We start from the raw sequence: 26,795 nt of genomic DNA, 5'->3' as shown, positions 1-26,795 counted from the left end.
ACCTTTTAGGGAGGTGGTTTGCGCAAGGCTGAGTAGTAAGTTGGTGGCTGATTTATTTCTGCCCTGCTCCATGAGTGACACTGTTCCTTTCCTTCCCCCTTTCCTGCCTCCCACTCCTGCTGAAGCTTTGCAGATAAGGAATCAAATTACTCTCTGGCTCTCATCAGAGCTTCTCAAAATGTGAGAGCTTTGATTGCAACCATCTCCTTGGTTCAATTTCTGTCTTCAGGATCTTCAGTGTTGCTGCCACGCCATCCCTGTCTGTCCCCAGGGAGATGCCATCATTTCTCATTGATCTTCACATTCCAGTCTCTCCAGTAGTGTGGACCAGTCAACAATTCGAAGCTGTAATTGGTAGATCAGCACTGATAATAATATCAGCTAAACAATATATAGGCAATGGGAAGGTGACCAGCTGAACTAATCTCCTAGATTCATTTTGGAGAATAGTGGAAAGTAAAGTTGGGTAGCATTCATGAAAATTGTGGCTTTATGGAATGTGTTTTCTAAGAGATTGGCTCTTTTTTTTTTTTTTAACTGAAATTTTAGAAAGAGCTTTCTGAGTAATAAGTCAATCACAGAGAGGGATCTGTCATTTTCTGGCAAGTTGAATAGGCCATGGGAATTTTTTTTACCTTGCCTACACTCACTCTCTTATGAATTATGAAGTATTATTTTTCCTGAAGCCATCAAGAATGGCAGGGAGGAGGGGAGCTAGTCCATATATTCACTTTTCCTCTGCACGTCTCTAGGGTTTTCTGTCTCTGCCTCTTTATCCCTGTCTCCGCTTGTTTCTCTCTGCTGTTCTTCCTCTTCTTTTGCCTCTTTGGCATGAACCAGCAGTAGCATTTGTTACAGGATTTTCATGAGGACGGTCTTCTGGGCAGTGTTTTGTGACAGGGTGGGGTGGTCCAGGAGTGGCTGGTGGGGATGATGGAGCAAGATTCCAGACAATTGAGGAGGCCAGTGGGAGAGCGCTGGGTACACCCAGGTACAGAGGAAACACACAGCGTTCAGTGGGGTGGCTGAGGGCGGGGGTGCTGTCACTAGGTGGAGGAGGTCTGGGCAAGCATGACAGCCTTGGCACGAGGAGCAGTCAGCCTGGCCAGATAGAGCAGGTAGGCTGCCGGCAGGAGCTGGCATGAAGGTATGAGGGCAGCAGGAGGCTGGGCTCAGCTCTGGCGGCTGAGACCTGAGACTCTGGTGGGATTGAGAGGACCAGGCCGGCATCAGGGGCAAGGTTTAGCAATCCCACCCTAGAGGCAAGGGCATCAGGGCTTTAGGCCAGAACCCAGGCGGAGAATGATGAGAACTACCATAGCAGCCCTGTGCTTGCTTGTGGAGCACAGTTGGTGCCAGGTACCCATCCGAACGTTTTATTAGACCAAGGCTTTTAATTTGCACAATCTTCTTGATAGAATCCTCATTTTGTAAGTGAGGAAATGGAGGCACAGGAAGGTAGAGTAGCTTACTGAGCGTTACCCTGCTGGGAAGTGGCACAGCTGGGATATGCAGGCAGTCTGGCTCCAGGGTCCCTGCTCATAAGCACTTTGCTTCATGGTATTCTTGTTACATATCACAGGGAGGACCATTCACATGGGGTGCATGGGGCCCTTGGAGCTGGGCAATGTGGGCTGCCCTGATTCCATACTTCTTCCCTTAAAAAAATTAAAAAGGCCAATTCTTCCACACTGCCTCCTATGTATCTTTCATATCTTAACTCATTAATTTCAAAACTATTATCTCCATGGTCTTCATGGGGCCTGGAGAGACTCTGGACATGCCTGCCTAGTTGGTAAGCTGAGCTCCGCCTCAGAGAACTACAGCAGAGGACTAATAGAAGTGGAATCTGTTGTCTGTAGTTTTTTTGTTTGTTTGTTTTGTTTTCATTCCCTTGTCTGCCCTGTTGCTACCACCTATCTGATGGGCTCCAGGGAGGAAACAGGGTTATGATATTCATTCTTGCAATGCCACACAGATTTCTAGAGGCAAAGGAGTGGAGTACTATTACTTGCAGAGCAGAAGATGAGAAAATTCATCTAGCACACTGTAGTCACTTAGTAAAATTTAAACAAAAACAAACAACAAAATAATTCCCAAGGCTGAATTGGCAAACAGAGACCTTGGGCTTGTGTTCTAGCCCGTGGAGCCAACAGGAGGGCTAGCCTTGGCTGAGTCCCAACATTATTCCTTTGTCTCTTCTCTGAGTTCTTGCAGTTCTGCTATAGAACGCATAACTACACTGGCTTTGAAAAGTTAAATTCCCGAGAAATTTAGGTGGAAAATTAGAATCAGAATTGCCTTTTGCTTCTAAATCTGCACCAGTTTGTCTTGATCATGGCTATTTAAATCTCATAGCTAATAGCTAATCTTCTCACTTTGGCTTTTCTCTCCTTCTTCTCTCTGTCCAAACAAGTGGAAAACAGAAATACCTGTCCTTTGTACTCTACTGTCAATTTCATGGGTTCACTCTATGATAAAGCCCAGCACGGGTAAGGAAAAGGGACTTAATATCCCTAAGTTTGAAGCCCATGAAAAAGAACTGAAAATAATGTGTCCTTGTGATACAAAATAGAGCTGTCCTAATTTGTTGAGGGACATGCCATTTCCTCCACTTAATTTAGCTCAGTGGAGGCATTTGTCAAATTGCAAGGATACCTTCCCCATCATGAATCACGTGGCATTTATAAACAGAATCATAGAGATGATGCTTTTTCATAGGGCTTTTTTTGACTTTGAACTGTTGATCATAATGAGAGATAACTGGAAAAGAGTTGAGTCAGAAACACATTTAACAGGGCATTCTCAGAATCAGAGGCAGCCTCCTTGAGGCTATGCAGTTTTGGAGGCTACTCAGTAATGAGAGGTAGGTGGGTTCCTGGGAAGCACCAGCACAAGATGAGCCCCAAGGTTTTCAAACTTGTTCTCACTGTAACCTCAGGTGGGAGAAGTAGGCCAGAAACGGGGTGGTTTCTCTTTCATCTTCTTGACCATCATTCAGCTGGAGAACTGTTAAAGTCAAAACCAAGAAGGTGCCAGTGTCTTGGTTGCTTTTCACTACCTGCTGCAGTGAAGTGTGAAATTTGGCCCTAGGAACTTGAACTTGCTGGAATCCATAGACCCTTTTACTAAAAGCTGGGGACTGGAGCTGATCTGAAACAGGCTCGGGAAGCTCCCAGGGACGTCTCACTACTTCTCAGCCTGGTCTCAGTTTAGAGAATCTTGGGGCAGAGATAGTCAGTTCTAAGATCTTTCTAGAGTTCTGAGCTCACTTTTCTGGAACTCCTTAGAGTTCCTCTGGGGAGGTTCAGAGCTGAGCGTCTCACTGGGGTTCCTCTGGAACTCTGGGATCAGCCCGAGTATTGGGTTGAAACCCTTAGGTGACTCACAGGTGTGGTGCTGATTCTGTGTAGATCCAGACCCTAGGGGAAGACTCCCCAACCTGTGATCTGATTTTTAGTTATCAGCTGTGGGTGAACAAAATGACTTCTGATGGGATAATTTTTTAGAATGGAAGGCGTGGGAAAAATAGGAATTTCCCCAAAAAAGTGACTTCTCTCTATTTCACCAAATTCCTCTTGGGAACACGCCTACTGCCCCTCATCTTGAAAACTCTTATCACGGAGGAAGTGGGGGAAGGAACACTCCAGTATAGAACATATGGCTTTGAATAAAGTAATTGAACCTTTGTAGGCACTAAAAGGCCAGATAAGGCAACTCCTGGTGTTTTCCCACCTCTTACAGTTTATGATTCTGAGTCCAGCACATTTCTGACTTCCTGGAAAGCAGGCAGAGCCTGCCCCTTCACATCTATTCTTAGTTAGAGGGGTTGGGTGCAGGAGCAACCACAGGCTGCTATATGTGATCCAGTGCCTCCCTGCTAACATCCCTCCCTGGTCAGACTCGCTGACTGCATGCATTAGGGTACCGTAAAGTGCGCCCCTGCTCTTTAAAACTTCCTTTAGGCCCTCACATTGGCTATAGGGAGCGCTCCACGGCAGCCATCCACAGAAGAGCCGAGCTATGTACAGTTTATCCAGTTGGGAACAATTTGTCTCATCTTGGTGAATTGTGAAAGTGGGCTGCCTCTGTCTTCTCCCCTTAATTTAGATGTCCATTTTAACACAATCGGGGAATATCTATACTTGCAATTGAAGTGGTAAAGTCGGGAAATGATCTGGAGAATTTAAGAGAAAAAAAGAACCTCTTGTCTCAGTTTTCTGTTGATTCTGGTTGAAATACCGTATGGCTGTAATTAGAGAGTTAATAATTAAAATAAGAGTCTGACACATGAATTTGAGCACAGCAGCCCTTTGATCTGGTCCTCTTGGTGTATGGGGGAGGGAACCGAGGTTCCACGTGGCCAGGGACTTTCTCCAACATGCATCCTTGTCGACAGGTAGAGCCAGCACTGGGTTTCTCTCTATGGAATCCCGTTGACTGCACTCATCCCCTGCTGCTGTCCTCCCTCCATGGGGGCACAATCTCAGAGGTGACAATCTGTTCAAACCCTACCATTTTAGGATTCTGAAGGACAGCAATATCTTCTTGCTATCATTTATATTTGACAGTGGACTAGGTATTGATGCCACTCCCAAGATGTGCGACTGTGATTGAAAGACATGAACGGGTCAGCACAGACCTGGAAGAACTATGCTCTGCTCAGCTGTTGTAGCTGTTGTGTTATTATTTTGACTCAGGTTTGTTCCTTTAAGAGTTACGCTTTTCAGAGATACTGGCTGGAAGGACAGGCCTCCTTTCCTAGATCCAGGGCCAGCCAGTTACTCTTGTGCTGAGCTCCCATGAACTGCAGCCAGTGCCTTCCAGCTGACAAAGCAGCTTCTCAATGGTAAGTGTTTATGTTGCACTTTAGATTTGCAGAGTTCTTTCCCTAAGTTATTTCTTACCTCATTTTGGCGGGTGAAGAAACCAGAGCCCATCAAGATGGTGACTGACTGGTCCAGAGTCATCTGACCAATTAGTGGCAAAGCTGATACAGGGGACTTAGAGCCTCTGAGTTTCTGGGTCATTACTTACCCAGTCAGTCATGCAGCTTCTCTAAAATATGTTCTGTGCTCCTCACCAGCTTCTTTGTCCTCCTGAATTTAGCTGGCTACTTTTAGAGTGGGCCATAAAGCTCTCCTGTTTCAAAGCTGCAGCTTTTTTTTTTTTTTTTTTTGGTTGACCAGAAAGTTCTAAGTACCTAGAGAAACTCATCCCAGGCTGCTGCAATGTGGGACCTGTCCTAGGTCACCTGAGTTGCGGTGTGGAGCAGCAGGTGGAGGGAGTCTGACGTTTCTATTTGGGTTTTGGGGAAAAGACCAATGCCACTTCAGGATTATTAAAGATTTGTGCATGGGAAGGGGATGAAGAATTTACGTGAAGACATTGGCTGTTGCTTAAAGTTGATTTAAAAACATTCAACTAAAGAGCATTAAACATTTCACATCTAAAAGTTGAGAAGTTTTTGGCTTCCTTTTCAAACTTCACCAGTTGGGACACAGAGCTCTTTTCTTGCCAGTGAGGCAGAGAGACTTCAACGAGAATATTGAAAACTTTTACTATAGAAATTCCCACAAGAAATCTTACCATCTGTTTATTCTAGTCATTTTTTTCTTCACATTGGGTGTAAAGATTTTTTTTATGACTCATTGCCCTTTTGACTTAAATGCATCTGTTAAGTACAGATGTTGGATGAGATTAGTATCTGTTTACCTGTCTTTACATGATATTCTCTGAAAATAAAATCTTTCCTTTGCTCCCTTCTCCAATTGTGAATTTAATTAAGAAGATGAGCAGTTGTGTTTGGAGTATTCAATAGTTTGCCTTTCCAAACATTCCACGCAGCCTTTTGGATATTGATAAGTGTTTATTGTAGAACTAACAATACAGGCGAAACAGGAAGCAGCTCTTTGCTGGGTAGGATGCTCCGAGGCGCCCTCCACTCTCCGAGGGAACGCTCTTCAGCTGACTGAAGCAGGGAAGCCGAGCCAATCAGAGGCCGCTTTCCTAGCTCAGTCACCAGTCTGTGGTTGAGGAAGGGTTTTGCTTTTTGTGCTCTGTATTGGGAAGGCAGATAAAATGCCAGGTCTGGACTGCCTCTGGGGATAACCTCACCCTGTGGGATGTGAATGAATAGCATCTTGCCTGGTAAATCCACAGGAATTGATAAGGCAGGCGCAGTTCTCCCAAACAGGCCTTTTCTCTTTAAGCTGTAGCTGTGGTTTCTGCAGCAATTTTGTTTTTGCCTTGAAAGAGGTGCTCTGGATTATCACACCTCCATGTATGACAATTTGTACCTGCATGGAATTGAAGACTCGGAGGCTGTAAGTATTTTCATAGATAGCTAATTCCCTCTCCCCTCCTCTTCCTCCTCCCACTATCCCCTCCACCCCCCCGCTTCTTATTTCTTAGGCAACGCAGGGAACATGGAGCAGAAAGCTAACATCATTCTGGGGCTTGCTGGCTGCTGTGTAAATGTTCTCTGTGTAGTTTATAGGTAACTAAAATTATTTATTGTCAAGCAAAAAAGAAATTAGGGTGATGGCAAAGCATTCAAGAGTGTAGGCTGTTTGAATTTATACATTACCGGGTCCACGTTTGATCTCACCAGGGGTAACTGCTCCTTGCAGACTGGTTTAAACTATGCAGAAAGTGCCTATGTTTTCCAATAGCAGGGTTCATAGAAAAGCCTCATTCATTATATAATACACATTGTTTGTTGAGCTAGCATGAATGGAAGTTCCTAAGCTGTGGCTGTATTATTATGTGCTTTCTGGCCAAACAAGCAGTGCAGATATACTGCTTCTTTGTTAAGGAAATCAGATGCTAGGCTTGTGGCCATACAGCAATCCAGTGCAGAGGCAGTGGGCAGTGTTCCTATACTCTACCTTGGAAGAGCGAAGCAGACTCACGTGTGTTTTGGGTTAGAGAACTGGACTCCTTCTCCCCCCTAGGTCAGGCTCATGCAATCTGTTAAAATCAGGGTGAAATAATTTCCTGAAATCCCTGAAATCATACCATAGAGTGCTAGCTTTTAAATATAAGGTAAAGCTGATAATTGAATCTTTCTTTTGACTCTTGCTGGTGGTAGTTCCTATTTTTTTCATCAATACACAGAAACCTCGCAAGGTAGAATGGCTGGGGGTGGTTAATGGGAAGTGCTGTGGGGAGTCTGAATTTTATGTGAGTGCAGTGCCAATACATGTTGCTACATTTGAAACAGGAGTGTGTTATATAAGATTCTCTGGCTAAACCACCAAATAAACAGGTTATAACAAAAAAAAAACAAAAAACAAAAAAAAACCCTGTGGTATACGTCAATGCAGACGTATATGTCTAATGATGTGCTATCCATGAAAGATAGAAATCCTCAGTTCTGTTAAGGCATTCCATTTTTCCTTCCTGTCTGTGTGTTTTCTCTAACTCTAACTCTGTTTCCGCAAAGTCTCTCTGCGTGTTGCCCAACGTGCTCATAAATGATCAGACTGTCAGTGTATTGTAAGGGACTGTAGTCTGAAACATTGGTGGCTGAAATCAAGAAGGTCCACACTTGCAGGTGGGGTGGGGGAATGGCAAAGGCAATTACAGGAGTTCAGTAAGCCAGCTTCCTGGGCTGGTTTCTTCAGAAGGCCTGATCACTTCTTCTACCCCTTCTCTGCTCACTCAGTTATGAAACCTATGATGCCTTGTGAATTGTAAGTTTTATTTTCGGCCATTGATTTTAAACTTGGGCAGGCAGTGAATTGCACCGAAGTGGACTGGAGTCATTTTAGAAATGCCTGTAGAAACTGGCTGCTGTGAAGAGTTGGCTAGGAACTAATAAATCCAGCTCCTTGTTCTCCAGAACTGTATACATTTCAGATGCACTGGTTCAGAGGGGAGCCATTATAAGTATGAAAACATTTTTTTTTTTTTTTTTTTTTGCCTTTGGGTCCAGTGTCACAGGACAGCTGAGTTTTTCTGTAAGATGGGAAGTGAAGAGTGCAGTGACTTGACTCGGTGGCAGTAGTTGATGGCGGGTAGTGCTAGGTACTGCAGTGCTGTACTCCTGGTGACTCAGTGGTGGCCAGCAGGCTGAGATCCTCCGGGCTGTGCACATCTGTGGAGGTGAGGAAGGTGGGAAACATGAGGAGTGGAGTTGGGCATCTGGCCAATCCTCAGTTGAGAGTATGGGAGGCTTTCAGGTGGGCGGGATTGAAACCGTGTCACATAAATCAGGGGAAGAGAGAGATGTTCGGAGGGGTGAACTGACTCTGAATGCTCATTTGAGTTTATTTGTTTTTATAAGGAAGAATAATGTGATGTGTTACCCAAGATGGTGTGAACAGAGCTTCAAGCCAATGGAGAAGACTAGGCCTAAATAGCTGACCTGGTGAAGTGACACATAAAGCCACACCTGGAGTGCCACCTCCTCAGCAGTCTTTCTCAGTGCCAATGCATTTATGGCTGTAAGTGTGGGGGGTTGTCCAGATGGAAGCAGAGCTCTCGGAACAGGTCTGGTGGATAGGCGTGGAAAGGCTTTTCTCAGATGGCTAGCTGCAGTCCGAGAATATATAGGCACTAAAAGCTGAGTACGGCACTTCGGTTGGGGGTGGGGGTTGGGGAACCATCCGCATATGTCCTACCGTTCTGTGCTGTTGAAAATGTCTTTGTGGGGTGTGTGGGGGTTAACTTGTGATAAGTGATTATTTTCAATGTTTTCACACAGTAAGCTTGTAATAAGATCATCTTGCCTAGGGACAATTTTATTCCGAATAAGAGTAAACCATTATTATACACTGTTAGCACCTCACATCCCCACAGTAGGAGAGAGATGTTGGTACTGTGATGCAAGGCTTTCTTAAGAGTTTGGTCCAAAAGTAGATGTTATGCTCCCAGTGCCCTAGATTTTAGTTTGTAACCTCCGTGTTTCACATACTCTATATGTGAAGAGAGAGGAAAAAGAAACATGCCGAAACACACTTGAGTCAGGCATTTTAGATTCTTTTTTTTTTTTTTTTTGAGACGGAGTCTCGCTCTGTCGCCCAGGCTGGACATTTTAGATTCTTGAGTCCTGTGGAGCCTTTTTGGGCAAGTCCATTAACTTCTGCTTTGGTGTCCAGGAGGGTAGTTAAGAATCTGGATTACAAGGAAGTGCAAAAGATCATTCAGTGCCCCACAGCAGGGCCCCACTTCCGAATAGGAGATTTCACACAGAACGTCACCTTACTTCTTGTATTACCTTGACATAGATGATGGAGTGTGTGCTTCCAGATGAACCCATACCTAGCCCAGGCTGGTTCCAGTGGATCATGCACATCGACTCTTCCTACATTAGCTGCTATATAAGAGCTGCCTATTCTACCTTCACTGTCCCCACTGTGTGTTAATACAAGTTCTAGTGGCCAAGATTTTTTTCATGGACTGAGCCCCCCATGTACACTATACTATGTGTTTTCATCTGATTTGCAGTAGATTTCATTAGACCTGCTCTTTAGTGTGTACGTGTATTTCATAAATGGATTCATTGTGTATTTTGATGTTTGTGGAATTATTCTGGAAATAGATTTATTTTTTCATTCATCAGGTTTATTACACAAACCGAGGGATGTTCTTATGGGGATCCATGGACGCAGCAGAGAAAGTTACCAAAAACCTACCACCCAGAAATAGTCATTGTTAATATATTGCTACACACCCTTTCAGATGATCAATCCACATATATGTAAATAGGTCAGTCTCAACCTGCTACTGTGTGTTGCACCCTATTCTGTCAAATGCTGTTCTTACTTGAGAAAATGTTGAGCATACTAGGACTAGAACTGGCCTGCACAGGAGACACTTTGCAAAATTTAAAGCTCCTACATGGACCTTCTGGAATTGTGAGTAGCTTGAAATACGGATTCTTAGGGTATATTGTACGGTGATGCCGGGGTTAGTTGCACATAGGAGTAATAGTTCATTTCTCTGACACAATTGCTTCCATTTCCAAATGCTTAAATTCTAAAGCATTTAGAAAGAGGGACCTGATCTTTTCCTGTGAAAAAGATGATCAGATCATCATTCAGGGCAATTTCCAGAGAGGAAAATATAGTCTTTAAGTGTTTTCAATCATAGAAAGGAATCATAATATATTGATTAATACTGTTAGAAATTTTATGTATGTAAAAGTTACAGCAAAGTAAATTTTACAAACTTAATATGTATGTATAACAATATCTGAGTGTATATATAAAAGCACATACTTAAATTTACATGTACGTACACATTATTATAAGAATAGCTTTGTGTTAAACTATTTATTTTCTATAAGCTGTGGAACTATGTATGTTTGTCTCAATGTCTGTGCACCTCTGCATGCATGCGTACTGTTCACCCTGGTACCTTCACCTACATTCATATACAGATATGTTCCATGCATCGCTAATTGATGGTTAATGCTAAGTGGGAGATGTCTACTGTGGAGCTTTTGGAGATGGAAAATTAGCTGCTTTTGATGTGAACAAAGATACCCAAGAGAGTTGAAAGGCAAAGCAGCCTCAAGAGAATAAAGGATTGCTCCTTTCAAAGATATAGTAAAGTTATTTTAAATATGAAGATATATCCTTGTGCTTGCTAGGGAGGCGGATAAACTTCAGACAGAAGGATTTATATGTTTAGGGGCCTTCAGAAGACACTTTAGGGATTTAAGGATTAGATTTCTTTTGGAAACAAGAAGGCCAGAGGTCTCTATGGTTTGGTGGATCAGAGCATCTCTTCTGGAGTCAAAAAGTCTTTCTGGCCTATTTATAGAGAATGAGGACTGATCTGTAAGAGAATCCAAGGACTGGATGTTGGCATCTCTGACCACAGAAGAAAACCAAATGTTGCTCCTGGTTTGTGTAGGGAATTTGACTGAGAAAAATCAAGTTGTTTTACTCAGCTGAGCTGTGTTGGTGTTTGGCTAGGGGTGTGTTAAGTAAATGACAAACAGGGCTTTCTCTTCAATCAGCAATGATGGTTTTCTAAAATATATATTGAAATTATTTCTAGATATAATTGGCATGGAGCCAAAGAGAGAAATTCCTTGAATCGATCAGATCCCATGAATTTGCTGTTCCAGCTTGTCAATCTTGCTGCTTTCTTGTTAATTTTCTATTTTTGAGTCACAGAGGCAAGAATTCGGATCAATCCTCGCCAGGTACTTCCATGTCTCCTTTTCTGCTGCTGTTATTATTATTATTAGATTATGATGAGTCAATCCAGGATTTTAGAATATGGCCCTGTGACTCCCTTTGTATGTACTCAATGGACATTCCATTATTCTGTGGTGCAAGACATTCTGTAAAAGGGTCAGCAATAACCGTGAAAAATCATTATTTTAGGGTGAAGGTGGGGAGGCTTCCCATTACCTTAGCTCTTCTCTTTCTGTGGGGTTCAGCTTGGACCTTATTTCTATGTCAACAGTTCTCCCATTCTGGTCACTGTCTCCCCTTTACCGTCTCTTACCCAGGTGAACAAGGCCACTTAAGGAGGACAAGAGGATATAACTGGACTGGTTATCATCGTTCATTCTCTTCTCTTCCCTCTCCCACTTGTCCTTTAAAATAATCATGAAGCCATGAACTCAGATATCCATAACATTAAGTTAAAAATTGTACCAAGGAAGCGCTACAGATATAGGCTCTGTGTTCTCATCTACATCGGCTGATTTAGGGGCCTTTCATGTGTTTGCATCAGGCTCTGGCGGCTGTGAAAACAGCAACAGCTGTAACCTGCCACACTAGAAAAAATACATTCATTGGGTGGATCCCCGAGTTCTCACAGGAGGCTGGGGCACTGCCGTGTAAAGCTAGCGCCCTGCCCTCAGAACAACTTAGTGTGTAAAACCTAAAGGAGCTTACAGTTCATATAAAATAATGACAACTTTGAGCTTTTTAAGACTTTGAAGGGCGTGAGTCTAAGATAAAACTGTGTGGCTATTTTTACAGCATGTATTGGTATGCCAAAAGAAGGTAGCCCAGATAGCTCACGTGACAATTTTTGACATCTAAATAGACCAATACTTGCTCTTGCTCTACATTTTATATTCTTTTATAACATAACTATATAGTTTTAGTTATAAATATTTTCCTCTCTTTTTAAATGGTGCCACATTATCAGTACTTCCTGTGTCCTTTTTTTTCTTTTGTGTCTGTCATGAGAAATATTGAAAAGTCTTATATTTAAAACAGGATGTTTTGAATTTGCTTTTAGCCTTTTCATTCAGAGGAGTTGATCCAAGGTATCCACTCAGACATGGAGATTGGCAACTGTCAATTACTCAGGAGCTTGTCTGTGTAGTTTGTGGAAAAAAAAAAACAACAGTTCTCTTATTTTGCCTTTCTTATGCCTGTTATTCCTTAATCTCCCTTTTCTTTTTAGCCTGAGCATCATATAGGAAAAAGATTCTGACCTTCTACGTTATTACTCTATTGGCAGCTTTGTTGAAAAGTTTGGTGAGTGATAAGGTTGTAGTTGAAATTGTTTCTAGATCTTTTTAAATCTCCATAAGACTTAAAAAATTTTGCCTTCTATTGGGCATATCTATCAGCCAGGAAAATTTCTATTTTACTTTTTGTACTTTGTATTATGAAAAAATGTTGTAGTATAATAGTGTCATGATTGAAAGTGGAGACAGACCAGGCGCGGTGGCTCACACCTGTAATCTCAGCACTTTAGGAGGCACAGATGGGCAGATTGCTTGAGCTCAGGAGTTTGAGACCAGTCTGGGCAACATGGCAAAACCCCATCTTTGCAAAAAAATAAAAATAAAAAAAATTAGTGGGGCATGGTGGCATGTACCTGTAGTCCTAGCTACTCAGGAAGCTGAGGCAGGAGGATCGCTTGAGCCCAGGAGGTTGAGGCTTCAGTGAGGCCTGATCATGCCACTGCACTTCAGGCTTGGTGACAGAATGAGACCCTGTCTCAAAAAAAAAAAAAAAAAAAAAAAAAATGTGGAGACAGCGCCATATTGCCAGGGGTTGAATCCTGACTTTCCCTTTCCTACTTTGTGGCCATGGGCATATTTCTTAAACTTTCTGTGCCTTGGTTTCCTCATCCCTGTCAATAATGATAGAACTTACTTTTTGGGTGGTTTTGAAGATTAAGTTAGTTAATGTGTATAAAGCCCTTAAAATCAGATATATATTATCTGCCATTATTGTTATACATATAATGAATATACTTACAGTTTCAGTAACTAAATATGCTCCTCCTTCTATAGGTTCTGATAGTCCCACCAAGTTTTTTGGTTTATTTTCAGAGCCCTTGCATGGTTTTTGACAGTGATTTCCAACAATCTTATAGTGGTTGACAGGTGAAAGAATTCAGTAATCCCCAAAGGCCTTATGATTAGTTCATTGTATTTTGTTTTAGAAAAGCATGTGGTAAAGTGTAATTGAAATAATGCTGGGAGGCTGGGCGCAGTGGCTCACACCTGTAATCCCAGCACTTTGGAAGGCTGAGGTGGGTGGATCGTGAGGTCAGGAGTTTGAGACCAGCCTGGCCAAGATGGTGAAACCCCATCTGTACTAAAAATATAAAAATTAGTTGGGCGTGGTGGTGGGTGCCTGTAATCCCAGGTACCCAGGAGACTGAGGCAGGAGAATCACTTGAACCCTGGGAGGCAGAGATTGCAGTGAGCCAAGATCACGCCATTACACTCCAGCCTGGGTGACAAAAGCAAAACTCCATCTTAAAAAATAAATAAATAAAAGAAAAAGAAAGAAAGAAAGAACGCTGGGAGTTGGGAATCTTGGTCTTTGCCACTTCTTAACAGTGACCATGGGCAAGTCACTTAATCTCTGACTCTGTAATCCTCAGTTTTTCCCTCGTATAAAATGAAGACATTTGAGTAGATCATTTTCTAAGGTTTCTTCACATGCAAAATTTTGTACTTTTTGCTGATAAGCAGTTTCTTCAATTAAGATAAAAATGTCACCATATGCCATTTGCTTTTTAAAATGATCAATTACCACGGTGTTTTGTACATACTGAGTAAGGTATCAGTGTTCGGACCTTGAGTCTGGATGTTTGGCCTATTCAGAATCTTTGAAGGAAGCAGGTATATGTGGTACATATCTTTGAGTAGAGTAGATGTTTGAAAAGGAAAATGTTTTATTTAAGACTTTTAATTCTAGAAGCCAAAAAGGATGCTTTGTCTATTGCTTGTTCGCTTGCCAATACCCATGGTGCACTTCCAGCCCACAGTGATTTGAGCTTGGAAACACTTGAGTCTCATCTCTAAAAAAAAAAATCAAAAGCAAAAGCTTTCTGAGAAGTAAATTTCTCCTAACTCTTACTAATGATTGAGGAAAGGTAATTCTGCTTTAAATTATTTTTCCTTCTTGGCTAAGGTATCTGAGCTCTACACTACCAGAGTATTGATATAAAAATATTTTAAATTATTGTTTTGTGATTATCCTGCTTAATCATCAAGAATATTTGTTGTTCAGTGTTTTCTTGCTTTACAGAATTTTCTTCAGCTCATTATTATTATCCTTTGGGATGTCCTAAAACCAATAATTCATCAGTTGAAAAACCCCAGGAATACAATCAATTCTAGGAGACAGTCATTAATTTTAAAAGTCATTCATTACTTTTAAAAGGAATAATTGTGCCTCACCTGGTTAAGTTCCCTCTATGATAAAGTGAAAGGATGCAAAGATGAGAGAGAAAAAGTCAGTCCTGACTTGAGCCCAATCTCTCAAACATCCCTTTAAATAATGTTCGCATGAAGTAAGGGCTGGAGGCAAGTATTTGTCAAGCTAGAAAACTATGGCGAATGTCATGCTAAAATGGTTAGTGCATAAACAGATTAGTTCCCTAGCTTATTTCCAAAGAGTTATTATTGATAGCTTAATATCATCTAACTTCAAATGATGTCCTGGAGATTAATGTCTTGGGGTTTACTTGATTCAATGGTTCTATTGATCCAAGTGATAGAATTAAGAACCTGTTGATCAAATTTTCAAATCATCTCACTTGATCATGTTGTTAACGCTTCGAATATAGGAACGGAACCAAGGTGAAGTTGATAAGGTAGGGAGCACAGAAAATTTAATTATGATGCACAGGGCCCTTTGTGAAGTGCTAGGATATTGCAGAGCAGGGTAAGGAATGAAAGCACACAGATCAAGGAAGGCTGGGTAGACATTAGATTTCAAAAAGAAAAGACCACATGATAGTCACATTTCATATTTAGTTAACTAAAACCCAAAAATTTGGTACGTAAAACATAATGCATATTCCTAGAGTGCCAATGGCGGTATTTTTCTGTATTGTCATATCCCTAAAGTCATATTTTGTACTTTATTGATCCAAGGGCACACTTTTCCTCCCATGTTTAACATGTCTAACACAGGGCTACATCTTAAAACTAATGTTGTCTTGCAGTTATATTGGCAGCTTTTTCCCCTTAGTGGTACATAATCTAATGTTGAATCTTAAAAATATTGATATCTCAAATTCAGTGAAATGGGAATATTTGGGGGAAAAATCTTTAAACAATACAAAACCATAGACTGTAAAAAATAAGTCTTCCTTGATGACATCCTAATCTGCTGTCCTCCCCACTGGTAGCCATTCTTAACAATTCAGTGGATATCCATTTCTATGCATTGACAAACAGGAATATTTAGAAAAATGTACTTACAAGCAAACGTGTCATATTTGTAATCTTTAAAAATGCACATAAGATCATAATAAATATTATTATTCTGACTTGCTTTCTTTACCTGAAAATGTACTGTGGATTTTTTTTCATATCAATGGATTCTTCTTAATAAAAAGTGACATAATTGCTGTGCAGCGTGGTTTAGCCATGATGAATTTTTCCCACTGATAGAGATTTAGACTATTTTTCATTTTTCAGTCCTACAGTTAAATGCTACAGTTAACATTCTTTTTTTTTTTTTTTTTTTTTCTGTGAGACAGAGTCTTGCTCTGGCCAGGTTGGAGTGCAGTGGCACGATCTTGGCTCGCTGCAACCTCCGTCTCCCGGGCTCAAGCAATTCTCCTGCCTCAGCCTCCTGAGTAGCTGGGATTACAGGTGTGTGCCACCATGCCCAGCTAATTTTTGTATTTTTAGTAGAGACGGGAGTTTCACCATGTTGGCCAGGCTGGTCTCGAACTCCTGACCTCAGGTAATCCACCTGCCTCGGCCTCCCAAAGTGCTGGGATTACAGGCGTAAACCACCGCACCTGGCCCAACATTCTTTTACATGAATCATTGTGTACACATGGAGCATTTCTCCAAAACAGCTTCTTAGAAGCAAAATTACTGGATCAAAGGATTAACACATTTTAAGACGTATATATATTGGTGAGCATTGTAAAACATTTTTACATTATACATTCTTTTTTGGTTCAGAAAAAAACCAATTTAGTTCAACCTTTTTAACTTGAAATGTAAGACTTCAAAGAAGTTTCTTGATTGTGGAGAGCAACTTTAGGATATGACCTCCAGATTCTATAGGAAGAATTTATTTACTCTCTGTTGTGATAATTTGTTTTGGTTTAAAAATAACACACAAAAACTTGGGAAGTTCCATATGCCCTCATCATATCAAAGATGAAACAGTTGAGGCCCAGAGAGATTAGGCCACTTGTTTAGAATGACGCAATCTGTAGTAGAAGTGGACCTAGAGCCTTCCTCACATTTTTTTTTTTTTTTTTTTTTTTGAGACGGTGTCTTTCTCTGTCACCCAGGCTGGAGTGCAGTGGCGCAATCTCGGCTCACTACAAGCTCCGTCTCCCAGGTTCACGCCATTCTCCTGCCTCAGCCTCCCATGTAGCTGGGACTACAGGTGCCCGTCACCACGCCTGGCTAATTTTTTGTATTTTTAGTAGAGACAGGGTTTCACTGTGTTAGCCAGGATGGTCTCGATCTCCTGACCTTGTGATCTGCCCGCATTGGCCTCCCAAAGTACTGGGATTACAGACGTGAGCCACCGCGCCCAGCCCACGTTTCTTTCTAGAGCAATATTCTTTTTAGGATGCCAAATTCCAAGGTTAGTACTATAAAAAACTGGAATAAACCTGAAGAGTGGTATAATCGTATAATTTGTATGGTTTTTGACAGCTTACAAAACAGTTGGGAGTTGGGAGAATCTCCAAAACAGAGATTGGATTGCTCTCTGACCCAAATGGTGAGAACTTTATCTACTTGTAGACCAGATTTGCTTCCCAATTTCTTTCAAGCGTTTGTTTGATGTTGCTTTATGATATGGTTTGAAGTCCCAAGTCGCTGATGGATTAGAATGATAATACACCCATAAAACTTAAATGAACATAAAATTTCAATGCTAGAGAATGTCACAAAGACGTTTTGTGTTTTAGGGAAATGTTAGTGTTCTCATGATTTGTATGCAGGTCTTGATGACAGTTGCAAGTTACTGCTACGTTTGGCCTTAGCCATGAGCATCCGAATTTCATTTTTATTCTCTGCCTTTCTCATTTATGATTCATCTCCATGAGCTTCCAATTCAAAGAAACATTTGCATGATTCAGTAGCAATATTTTTTAAAAGGTAAAAGGAACAGCAGTATTTGTAAAAGGTACGAGGAACTGTAAGTTCTGGGGGTGGGGGTGGAGAGAGTGTCCCTGACAACATGCTCAAATTAGGATAAATTGAGAGGGTTTAATAAAATGAAAAGGTATTGGTAGGGTGCAAGGAAACCACAAGGGATAGTGCTGTACCCCCATGGCTAGTAAGTGCATTCCCAGAAAGGGTGTGGTTATAGGAACCTGGGAGGACTGAGTTGCATCCAGAAAGCTACCTTGAGAAGGATGCAGCTTTCCCTGTGGATGGATACAGCCAGCTTTGAAGCATCCCACAAGGAGGAAGCCAGAGAATAAATACCCTAATCTTAGTCTCCCTTACTCTGATCCCTGCTAGGGTGCCTTTTGGCCAAACTCAGCCAGAAGCCAAAGAGCAGAGCTTACCGGTTAGCCATGCAGTGCAATAGCAGAGTGGGGAAGGATGAAGGGTGGTTTAGAGAGGTGATTTGGTTCCATCTGTATTACTGTATTGTCTGAGTGTATATTCACACAAGTTGATGAAAGCATGCAATTGGGAGACATTCTTTTTTTTATTTTTTTTGAGACAGGGTCTTCCTCTGTTGCCCAGTCTGGAGAGCAGTGGCGCAATCATGGCTCACTGCAGCCTTGGACCTCCTGGGCTGAAGTGATCCTCCCACCTCATTCTCTTGAGTAGCTGGGACTACAGGTGCATGCCATCATGCCTGGCTAATTTTTTATTTTTTTGTAGAGGTAGGGTCTCACTGTGTTGCCCAGGCTGATCTCGTACTCCTGGGCTCAAGCAGTCCTCCTGCCTCGGCTTCCCAAAGTGCTAAGATTACAGCCATAAGCCACTGCGCTCAGCCTGAAGCCATTCTTAAAGCACACCTCTGAAGATGCTGGTGAGGCTCTGAAGGAGCTGTTGTTGGTCGTCTTCCTTTGGAGATGTGTGTTGGCTTTCATATGTGGGAATAGTTTCACTGCAATCAGTCTCCTGGGTTTTAATTCCTGTACTGTTGCTTTGACGAAGACCTTCAGCACTTCAACAAAATGTCTAGCAATAGGAGCAAATAAAAGATTTAAATGTTAGTTTTGTGGAGAAAGCTTGAGAAGCTAAGCTAAGAGGGCTTCCATGACTGCCTTCAAATACCCAGAGGTCTCTGTGGAGACTGAGAAGATAAAGGAAAGTGCGAATGAGACCAACTTGTGTCTTAGATGTGCTCCATTGTCATGGCCAGGCCAGAATAATTTTTGGGATCTCTCCAAATGTCATCACGTTGTGATTCCCACCACATATAATAGTGAGAGGAGTGGTGGGAACAGGGATTAGCAATGTGAGATTTTTACATTTCTGATGACAGCCTCCTTATTAAAAGATATGTTGACCGGGCAGGGGTGGGAATGCTAAGAGGAGCATTTCCTTTACATGGATGATAGTAGCTTGGAGGCCAAGTCTTGCCATTTTTAGTCAAGCTAAAACAGACCCCATGTGTCTGTATTTAAAAATCAACTTTGGCTACTGGTTTTATGGTGTGTAAAATATGTGAAAATCCATTGATCTACATGTATGATATGTGCACATTTCTATACATGTGTTATACTTTAATTAGAAATTTTGGGAGTGTCTTTTGGGGAAACAAGTGAAACTAATGGAATTCTGAAAGCTGTGATCAGGATTAGGATGGATATAATGAAGGCCCTTACTTTCCATTGCTAAGACTTACAAAATGTGGAAGGGAGTAGATTCATGCCCTCACTAGATGCTGGAATCCTGAGTGCAGAAAGAGCACTAACCCTTGACTGGTGGACCAGTTGGCCAAGGATTGGGACATGTAACCCATCACTGGGATATGGTAAGAGCATGCCCCTCCAGTCTCTGGAACAGAAGGTGCTCTCATTGGTGATGTTCATGGTGGCCTTTTGCTTCACTGCCCTCCCTGGGACCGATCGCAATGGTGGTGGTTATGTGCCCAGCCAGCAGATACCTCCCCTCTCTGAATAGCCATGATTCTTAAGATAAGGCGAACTCGGGGGAAGTAGATTTTCTCCTTGCTTTTAGCAGTGTCTGCAGGGTCAAAGCCAGGCTGTTCTCAGTGGTGAGAGCTGGTCCTTATGCTTACAGAACTGTGCCAGCGGCCACAAGAGAGAGTCAATTCCAGCAATAAGGAATAAAATGATTGCCATGAGTCTCAGTTGTGGTTTATTTTGATAAGATTCTAAGGTTCAGATGTTTACTCCTGGAAGGGTGTGTGCCTGGCATATGGTATACAGAGACACTCACTAGAGAGGTACTGCATATGTCTTTAAATATACTTAAGGGGCTTTCTGAAAGCTAAGCTAGCATACATGTTACATGAAGACTGCTTGGATTGTTTCATTTTCACAGTTTAAGGACTTAAAATAATCTACTTAAAATTGATTTCTAATTTTTATAACTCAAATTCTTAAATTATTACTAGTGTAGAGTGCAGTGTTATAAGAACGGTGAGGCAGATCTTGTAACTGAAGTACACTGTTACCATTTGTTATGGGTGCTTTTCATCAGTTCAGCTGTAATATTTTGAATAACTATGTGTGTCTGTGAAACTCCTTGAATCAGAGCTACAATATAAAGAACTATGCAAATTATGCAAGATATTATAACAGGACTTTATTAAGATTGAATAGTATGTTGATAAATATGATATTGTTCTGCTTTGGTTTTGAAATTACACAGGTATAAAAATAGCTAAAAAATTGTTCCTCCCACATTCCAAATATAAAGTAGGTAAATTTACCCCTAAAATTTAAGAGCAAGAAAAAAAAGAGTCGGATACAAATAAGATAGAAAAAGGATGAGAAATGCATAATCTAGATTCTATGAATGTTTTGATTTATATTGCTTTTAACTAAAATATGTTCTGGCTGTAAGATGTACAACTAGTTGTTACATTTTTCATTTGAGTGCTGCATTTACATAGAGAAGCTGGCTTTCAAAATGCCAGCCAGCAGCCAACTCAAATGTGGAATATTTGAGTCTAACTTAGTGACTAGTTTTGTAAGATGTCTTGAGGAGGTTGGGGGAAGGGTACGCATGGGACACCTTGTTCTGGAAACTCAGCCAGAATTTTGTCAGCTGTGATTCATCTGATTCTTAGGGTATTTGAATTTCCAGTTCCTAATTTAGAGCTTGCAAAGATACTGTGAACCCAAAGCCTCACCTCCATGTATTTAATGGAAGATGTATAGTTTTGAAGTTCCAGATTGACTTCCGGCAGAAAATGAGGACATTCAGCAGGCTCTGGCTATAAACTATATCATTTCTTTAGAAGTATAAAAAGTGTCCATTATCCTATCAGCATTTGTGTTAAATGACTTCTGAGATTCTCTAATCAAGGATGTTGATAGACTTTGGAAGCATTTCCCAGATTACTGATTGGGCCTTCCTCGAGGTCCTTAGACTCCAAGGAATTATTGGACCTGTCTGCTATACTGGGAACAGATCAGACACTGATAGGTAGTTGTTATCTTTGTACCTACATTTAAAAATACCTAGCCTCCCATTTGAAAGGAGCCCTTTTTCTGTGATCACATACTGTATTGATGTTTCGCAGAACATACTGTGAGAGAAATTATTTGCAGTAGGTAATTGGGAGCCGTTCACAGATTTTTAAACTGGAAAGTGGTTTGATCAGCTGTGCATTGGTCAGGGTAGAAGATGGATTTGAGGAGAGGAAGAATTCAGGCAGGGAGTCCAAATAAAAAGCTGTGGAAATAGTACAGGTGTGAGCTGATGGAAGCCTGAACTAGGGCAGCAGTAGTGGGGATGGAGAGGAGGAGGTGAACTGAAAAAATATTTAAGTCATAAATGCAGCAGGTTTAATGGCTAATTAGCTTATGAAGGAAGAGGAACTCCCACTTTCGGCTTAGGTGACTGACCGGTTGGACAGTGATGCCACTGAGATTGGAAAACTAGGCCATTTCTTCTGATATCTTTTCCACTGACCCTGGGGATCTCAGGTTAGAAGCCAGGTCCCGGATTGAAGGCCTCAACCCTTTAGCCATTGGTTTCTGGCTAAGAAAGTTACTGACTTCATCCCAAGATCATGAAATAGTTTCGTTCTAGACAGCTGGGACTCCCGGTTACCAGGAACTTGCTGCCAAATAATCGGTTATGGCTCTATCTGTTCCGGGCCTGTACCTATCCTCATATACCCTATTATGCCATGTTTGGAAACTATAGAGGAAGCTTGCCATATATTATCCTTTTACATTAAATATTTCTTTTTCTATTTAGAAGTAGATTGTAACATTTTCCAGAGTCTCTCATACTTCTTATATGTGGTAGATGAGTTTCTAGCCATTAATTTATGCGCCTGTTGATACATGTGAAAAAAACAGGTCCCTAGTCAAATAAGCTTGATAATCACCATACTCCGTCCCTTTCTCAAAAGATTCACAGCACCCAGTAGCCCACTAATATCTGTTAGCATTCCACAATAAATAAACCAATTAAATTTTATTTAACCCCAAGATATTCCAAACCTACTTGATCTCAGAATCCATTTTTTTCCCTAAAGAATACCTATTAAGTACTTGAATAACTAGTATACTACAGAATACAATTAGGGAAATGCTGGTTTAGTTATTTACACCAGGCCTCATAATCACTGCAAACCATCTCAGTGTTGTAGACTGGAAGGATTTTGTGGGACAGAGTGAAGTTAACGTTAAATAGATACAGTATATATATTTCTGGGGCCTCCCTCTTAGGAGACTTTGATTCAGTTAGTTTGGAGTAAGGCTTAGGATTCATATTTTTGGCAAACGCTCCCCAAATCACTTTCATGTAAATTCTTTGAGAAATACTGGGTCAAATTATTGTCTTGGTCAGCTCGAGAGTTTGTGACAGTGCACACAGCACTTAGTTTCCCTGTTCTTTTAGCTTCTTGTCCACTTATTTGGGGTGGTAAGCACTTTGAAGTATGAATGTCTTTCTTTAAATAAAATGTAATTGGTTTATTCATCTCCCTATCCTTACCCTACCCTTGCTTGCCTCAAGATGGGCACTCAATAAATGGTTGTTGGAATGAATTGAAATTCAATAACTTTAATTCCTCCAGGAATCAAGAGGAATCTAGGGAATGGTCAGAAATGATTGAACACAATATATTTTATCAGGGATTCCCAAGGGACACACACACACACACACACACACACACACACACACACACACACGCCCAGCCACTCTACTTTTTTTTTCTTTGAAAAAATCAAAGTGAATTTAAAATTGGGGGTTAGCAGGTTTAGGAAATTAAAAGGCCTATATTCTTTCTTTTTTTTGAGATGGAGTCTGACTCTGTTGCCCAGGCTGGAGTGCAGTGGCACGATCTCGGCTCACTGCAACCTCCATTTCCCAGGTTCAAGTGATTCTCCTGCCTCAGCCTCCCAAGTAGCTGGGATTACAAGCATGCATCACCACGCCCAGCTAACGGCTAATTTTTGTATTTTTAATAGAGACTGGGTTTCGCCTTGTTGGTCAGGCTGGTCTTGAACTCCTGACCTCAGGTGATCCACCGCCTTGGTCTCCCACAGTGCTAGGATTACAGGCATGAGCCACTGTGCCCGGCTGGAAATTAAAAGGTCTGTATTCTTAAAAGAGCCAGAATATGATGAGACACTCAGCTATATTGATTGTAAAAATAATTGGTGGTAGTGTTAGTCTCCCTCCTCGCCTACAATCCTAGACCCTATTCCCTAGAGTAAACACTTGATAGTTTGTTTCTTTAATAACAGCTTCACTGCATATAATTCACATACCAAGGAATTCAGCCGTTTAAAGTGTACAATTCAGGGGTTTTACTATATTCAGAGTGGTACAACTACAATCATCACCACGACCAATTTAGAACATTTTAATCACCCCAAAAAGAAAACTCATACCTATTAGCAGCCACTCCCCATCTCCTTCCAACTCTCTCAGCCCTAGGGTGTGTTTGTGCATTTGCCTCTTCTGGATATTTCGTACATTGGGAACCACACAATAGACAGCCTTTTGTAGGCTTCTTTCACTTAGCATAATGTTTTCAGGATCCATCCATGTTGCAGCTTTTATCAGCATTTCATTTCTTTGTATTGCCAAATATTATTCCATTACATGGATATATCACATTTTATCCATTCATCCATTGATGGACATTTGGGCTGTTTCCACTTTGTGGCTGTTATGAATAATGCTGCTGTGAACATTCATGCACAAGTTCTTGGGTATGTGTGGATCATAAATTTCTTCACCAGTCACATCAAAATGCGTCATCTTTAATAATTTGATGTATACTACAAGTATATCGAAGATACAAGGTGTTTTAGAATCCCACTCCACTGGCCTGAATGGCCATATCTCAGCTATTTCCATATAATCCTGCTCTTGTCAGTTTGTACGAGTAAGCAATGCTCAGTCTCAAGTACAAAAATTGTGGACATTACTCCCTCCTTTTGAGAATCTCTCTTCTCCCACATCCTCTTTATAGACTTTATAGACTTTGAATTGCTCAAAGTCTAATTCTTTTTTTTTTTTTCTATTTTTTATTTTTGAGACCGTGCCTTGCTCTGTTGGCCCAGGATGGAGGGCAGTAGTGCAATCATGGCTCACTGCAGCCTTGACATCTTGGGCTCAAGCAATCCTCCCACCTTAGCTTCCTGGGTAGCTGAGACTGCAGGCGTGTACCACCACACCTGGCTAATTTTTTATTTTGTGGAGATGGGGTCTCACTATGTTGCCGGGGCTGGTTCAAACTCCTGGGCCCAAGCAAGCCTCCCACCTCAGCCTCCCGCCTCAGCCTCCCAAAGTGCTGGGATTACAGATGTGAGCCACTGCACCCAATCAAAGTCCAACTCTTATTCCACTTCTTCTATGAGGTTCCTCTGCTTTTCCAGCCTCTTCTGAATTCCCATAGCAGCATCTGCCCCATTCACTTGGGCATTAGCCACCTGCAGTCTTGGATGGCTTCTTCACCATTTCATGTGTCTGCATCTTATTTCTGCAAACATAGGACTCTAGAGGGCAAGGATCAAGTCTTACCATTCTTTTCTGCCTTCCTTCCCTCAACTCCAACTATGCAAGGGTAGAGAATGAATTAAAAAAGACATAGCACAATAATACACAATAAGTTAATATTGAATGAGTGGATGAATGCTATAGCTCTATGATATTGATGTTCTCAGTGCATAGTAAGATGGGAATGGTTTGCACCAACCAGTGAGGAAATGACGAGTGTAATTAATTAAACCAGGTGCAGCTCTGAAATTGTGAGGTGCTTATTTAAAAGTTGCTGACTTGTTGGCTGGGCACGGTGGCTCACGCCTGTAATCCCAGCACTTTGGGAGGCTGAGGTGGGCGGATCACAAGGTCAGGAGATCGAGACCATCCTGGCTAACACAGTGAAACCCTGTCTCTACTAAAAATACAAAAAAAATTAGCTGGGCATCGTGGCGGGTGCCTGTAGTCCCAGCTACTCGGGAGGCTGAGGCGGGAGAATGGCATGAACCTGGGAGGCGGAGCTTGCAGTGAGCTGAGATCGCCCCACTGCACTCCAGCCCAGACAACAGAGCGAGACTCCATCTCAAAAAAAAAAAAAAAAAAAAAGTGCTGACTTGTCACAGTAAATGCTGAAAGGCATTCTATTTAGAAATAATCTTGTCTGTGTATCATAGTTTCTTTATTTCTTCTTGTTCTCATTTGCAAGGACATATTCAGATATATTGTCTTGAAAATAGGATTCTTTCAACTTCTTCTCTTTTATTTCCAAGTTCAGATCATAATTTAGTGACTGTATTATTATCAGAGTTATTATGTCTGTGATGGCCATATCCGAAATCTCTGTGACTTTTCAGGCAAGGTTAGTTATTTGAATGAACCCCGCAAATGAACTTTCTCATGTTAATCTCTAAAGCCAAATGGAAACAAACAAACAACAAATTTCAGGAAATCAGACACATAAAGGTACAATAATTTGAAACAGAACAAAGATATTTTAGTTTTTCTCACTCTTGGCAATGAAAATTTCTCTATAAAATCTGCTCTTCAGACATTTCCCCATGGATGACAGAATTAAGCAAATCATCCCAGTTTGTTCTTTATGAGCTGCTTATGAAACATTCCTTGGAAATAATTCTGCCTAAATAAAATTACTCTATTAATTCATAGCCTTAATTTTTGTGTGATGTTGAAAAGAACTAAGGAATAGGACGGTCTCCTTTGGTAGTAATAAACCATGCCACTCTGGTTTAGAACGAGGAGCTTGCTGAAGGTTGGAGAGGCAGAGTGTACATTATAGTGAAGCTGCGGTTGTTGCTTCAGGGACACACTGATAACCCTGGTCACAGTTGCAAGAGGTAGATGGCAGATCCCTTCCACAGGTATGTGTCCTTGTATCCCCATGGTCATTCATGTTAAGATGGGAGGCATCTGGGTGACTTCCTTAAGTTCTTACTGTGAAGATATGTTGACATATTTGTTCAAAAGACAGATAGAATTTGTTGTAAAGACATCTGAGCTTTGTAAATTAATCCTGGATATATCTATTGATGGCCTTCATGTGGGGTGAACACGTTTGTCAGAGTGTTACCAAAGGACTGTTTACAGATGCATTCTTTTCTGAGCATCTAAATGAAAAGTTCACAAGTACCTATGGAACTTCCAACACTGTGCTAGAGATGATAACTCTTAAAAGAGTCATAGAAATAGAAAATATTCCTAGTAGAAAAATTCTTAGAGTGAAATCAGGAGGAGATCTGTGCATTTGAAACCACCAGGAGGGAGCATAGAGTAAGAGGATGGACTTTGTGTTTGTAAAAAGAACTGGACTTACAATGCTTTCCGTTTACTAACTGTTTGGATTTGGACAATTGTGCTCCACACAAATTCTTTCCCTTAATTTTCACAATGACCTTATGATGTAGATATTTTTGTCACACATTTTCTAGGCATAAAAAAAGTCATATGATTCGTCCAGGGTCATACAGCTAGAAGACAAGCCAGGATTTGAACCCAAGTGTCCTACTCTAGACTGTCTTCCTAAAACAGGGAAGGGAGGAGTTGGAGGGCTTGAAAGGAGAGCATGGCAGGCTGAATGAGGAAACAGAACAAGAGAAGGAGCAAACAAGGTACGGGCACACGAGTAAGGATGGGGACCTGCTGGTGTCGGACATGGCCGTGGGACCCACACCAGCAGGTATTGGACAGATCCCGTAGGCAGGAGGGAGCTTCCTTTGCACTGGCAGAATCCTGAGAACAT

The 26,795-nt window shown here is 41.4% G+C and overlaps 1 protein-coding gene across 22 annotated transcripts in view, besides 1 other annotated feature; it reads left to right on the top strand.

Annotated features, from left to right (window-relative positions):
• The window catches only part of CACNB4 (calcium voltage-gated channel auxiliary subunit beta 4), a 266,397-nt gene that overhangs the window by 119,173 nt on the left and 120,429 nt on the right, over positions 1-26,795 (top strand). For 3 of the 22 annotated variants that reach the window (NM_001330116.2, NM_001330114.2, NM_001320722.3), the window contains exons 1-2: positions 6,017-6,326; positions 8,291-8,450. The exons of 12 other annotated variants lie outside the window; for them this stretch is intronic. In NM_001330116.2, the coding sequence (NP_001317045.1) occupies positions 8,445-8,450 (6 nt within the window). In that variant the 5' untranslated portion in view covers positions 6,017-6,326; positions 8,291-8,444. 7 more of the 22 variants (NM_001330115.2, NM_001005747.4, XM_047445798.1 and 4 more) reach the window with 5 other exon arrangements.
• Positions 532-1,076: an enhancer, noted in NCBI's record as "H3K4me1 hESC enhancer chr2:152835433-152835977 (GRCh37/hg19 assembly coordinates)". NCBI's record gives its function as "activates a minimal SCP1, AML or CMV promoter by ChIP-STARR-seq in primed H9 embryonic stem cells {active_cell/tissue: H9 hESC(primed)}" and the evidence as "EXISTENCE:reporter gene assay evidence [ECO:0000049][PMID:30033119]".

The sequence above is a fragment of the Homo sapiens genome, chromosome 2 (genome assembly GCF_000001405.40).
Source record: "Homo sapiens chromosome 2, GRCh38.p14 Primary Assembly".
In the NCBI taxonomy this organism is placed as follows: domain Eukaryota; kingdom Metazoa; phylum Chordata; class Mammalia; order Primates; family Hominidae; genus Homo; species Homo sapiens.
This window is presented reverse-complemented; position numbering and strand designations above follow the sequence as displayed.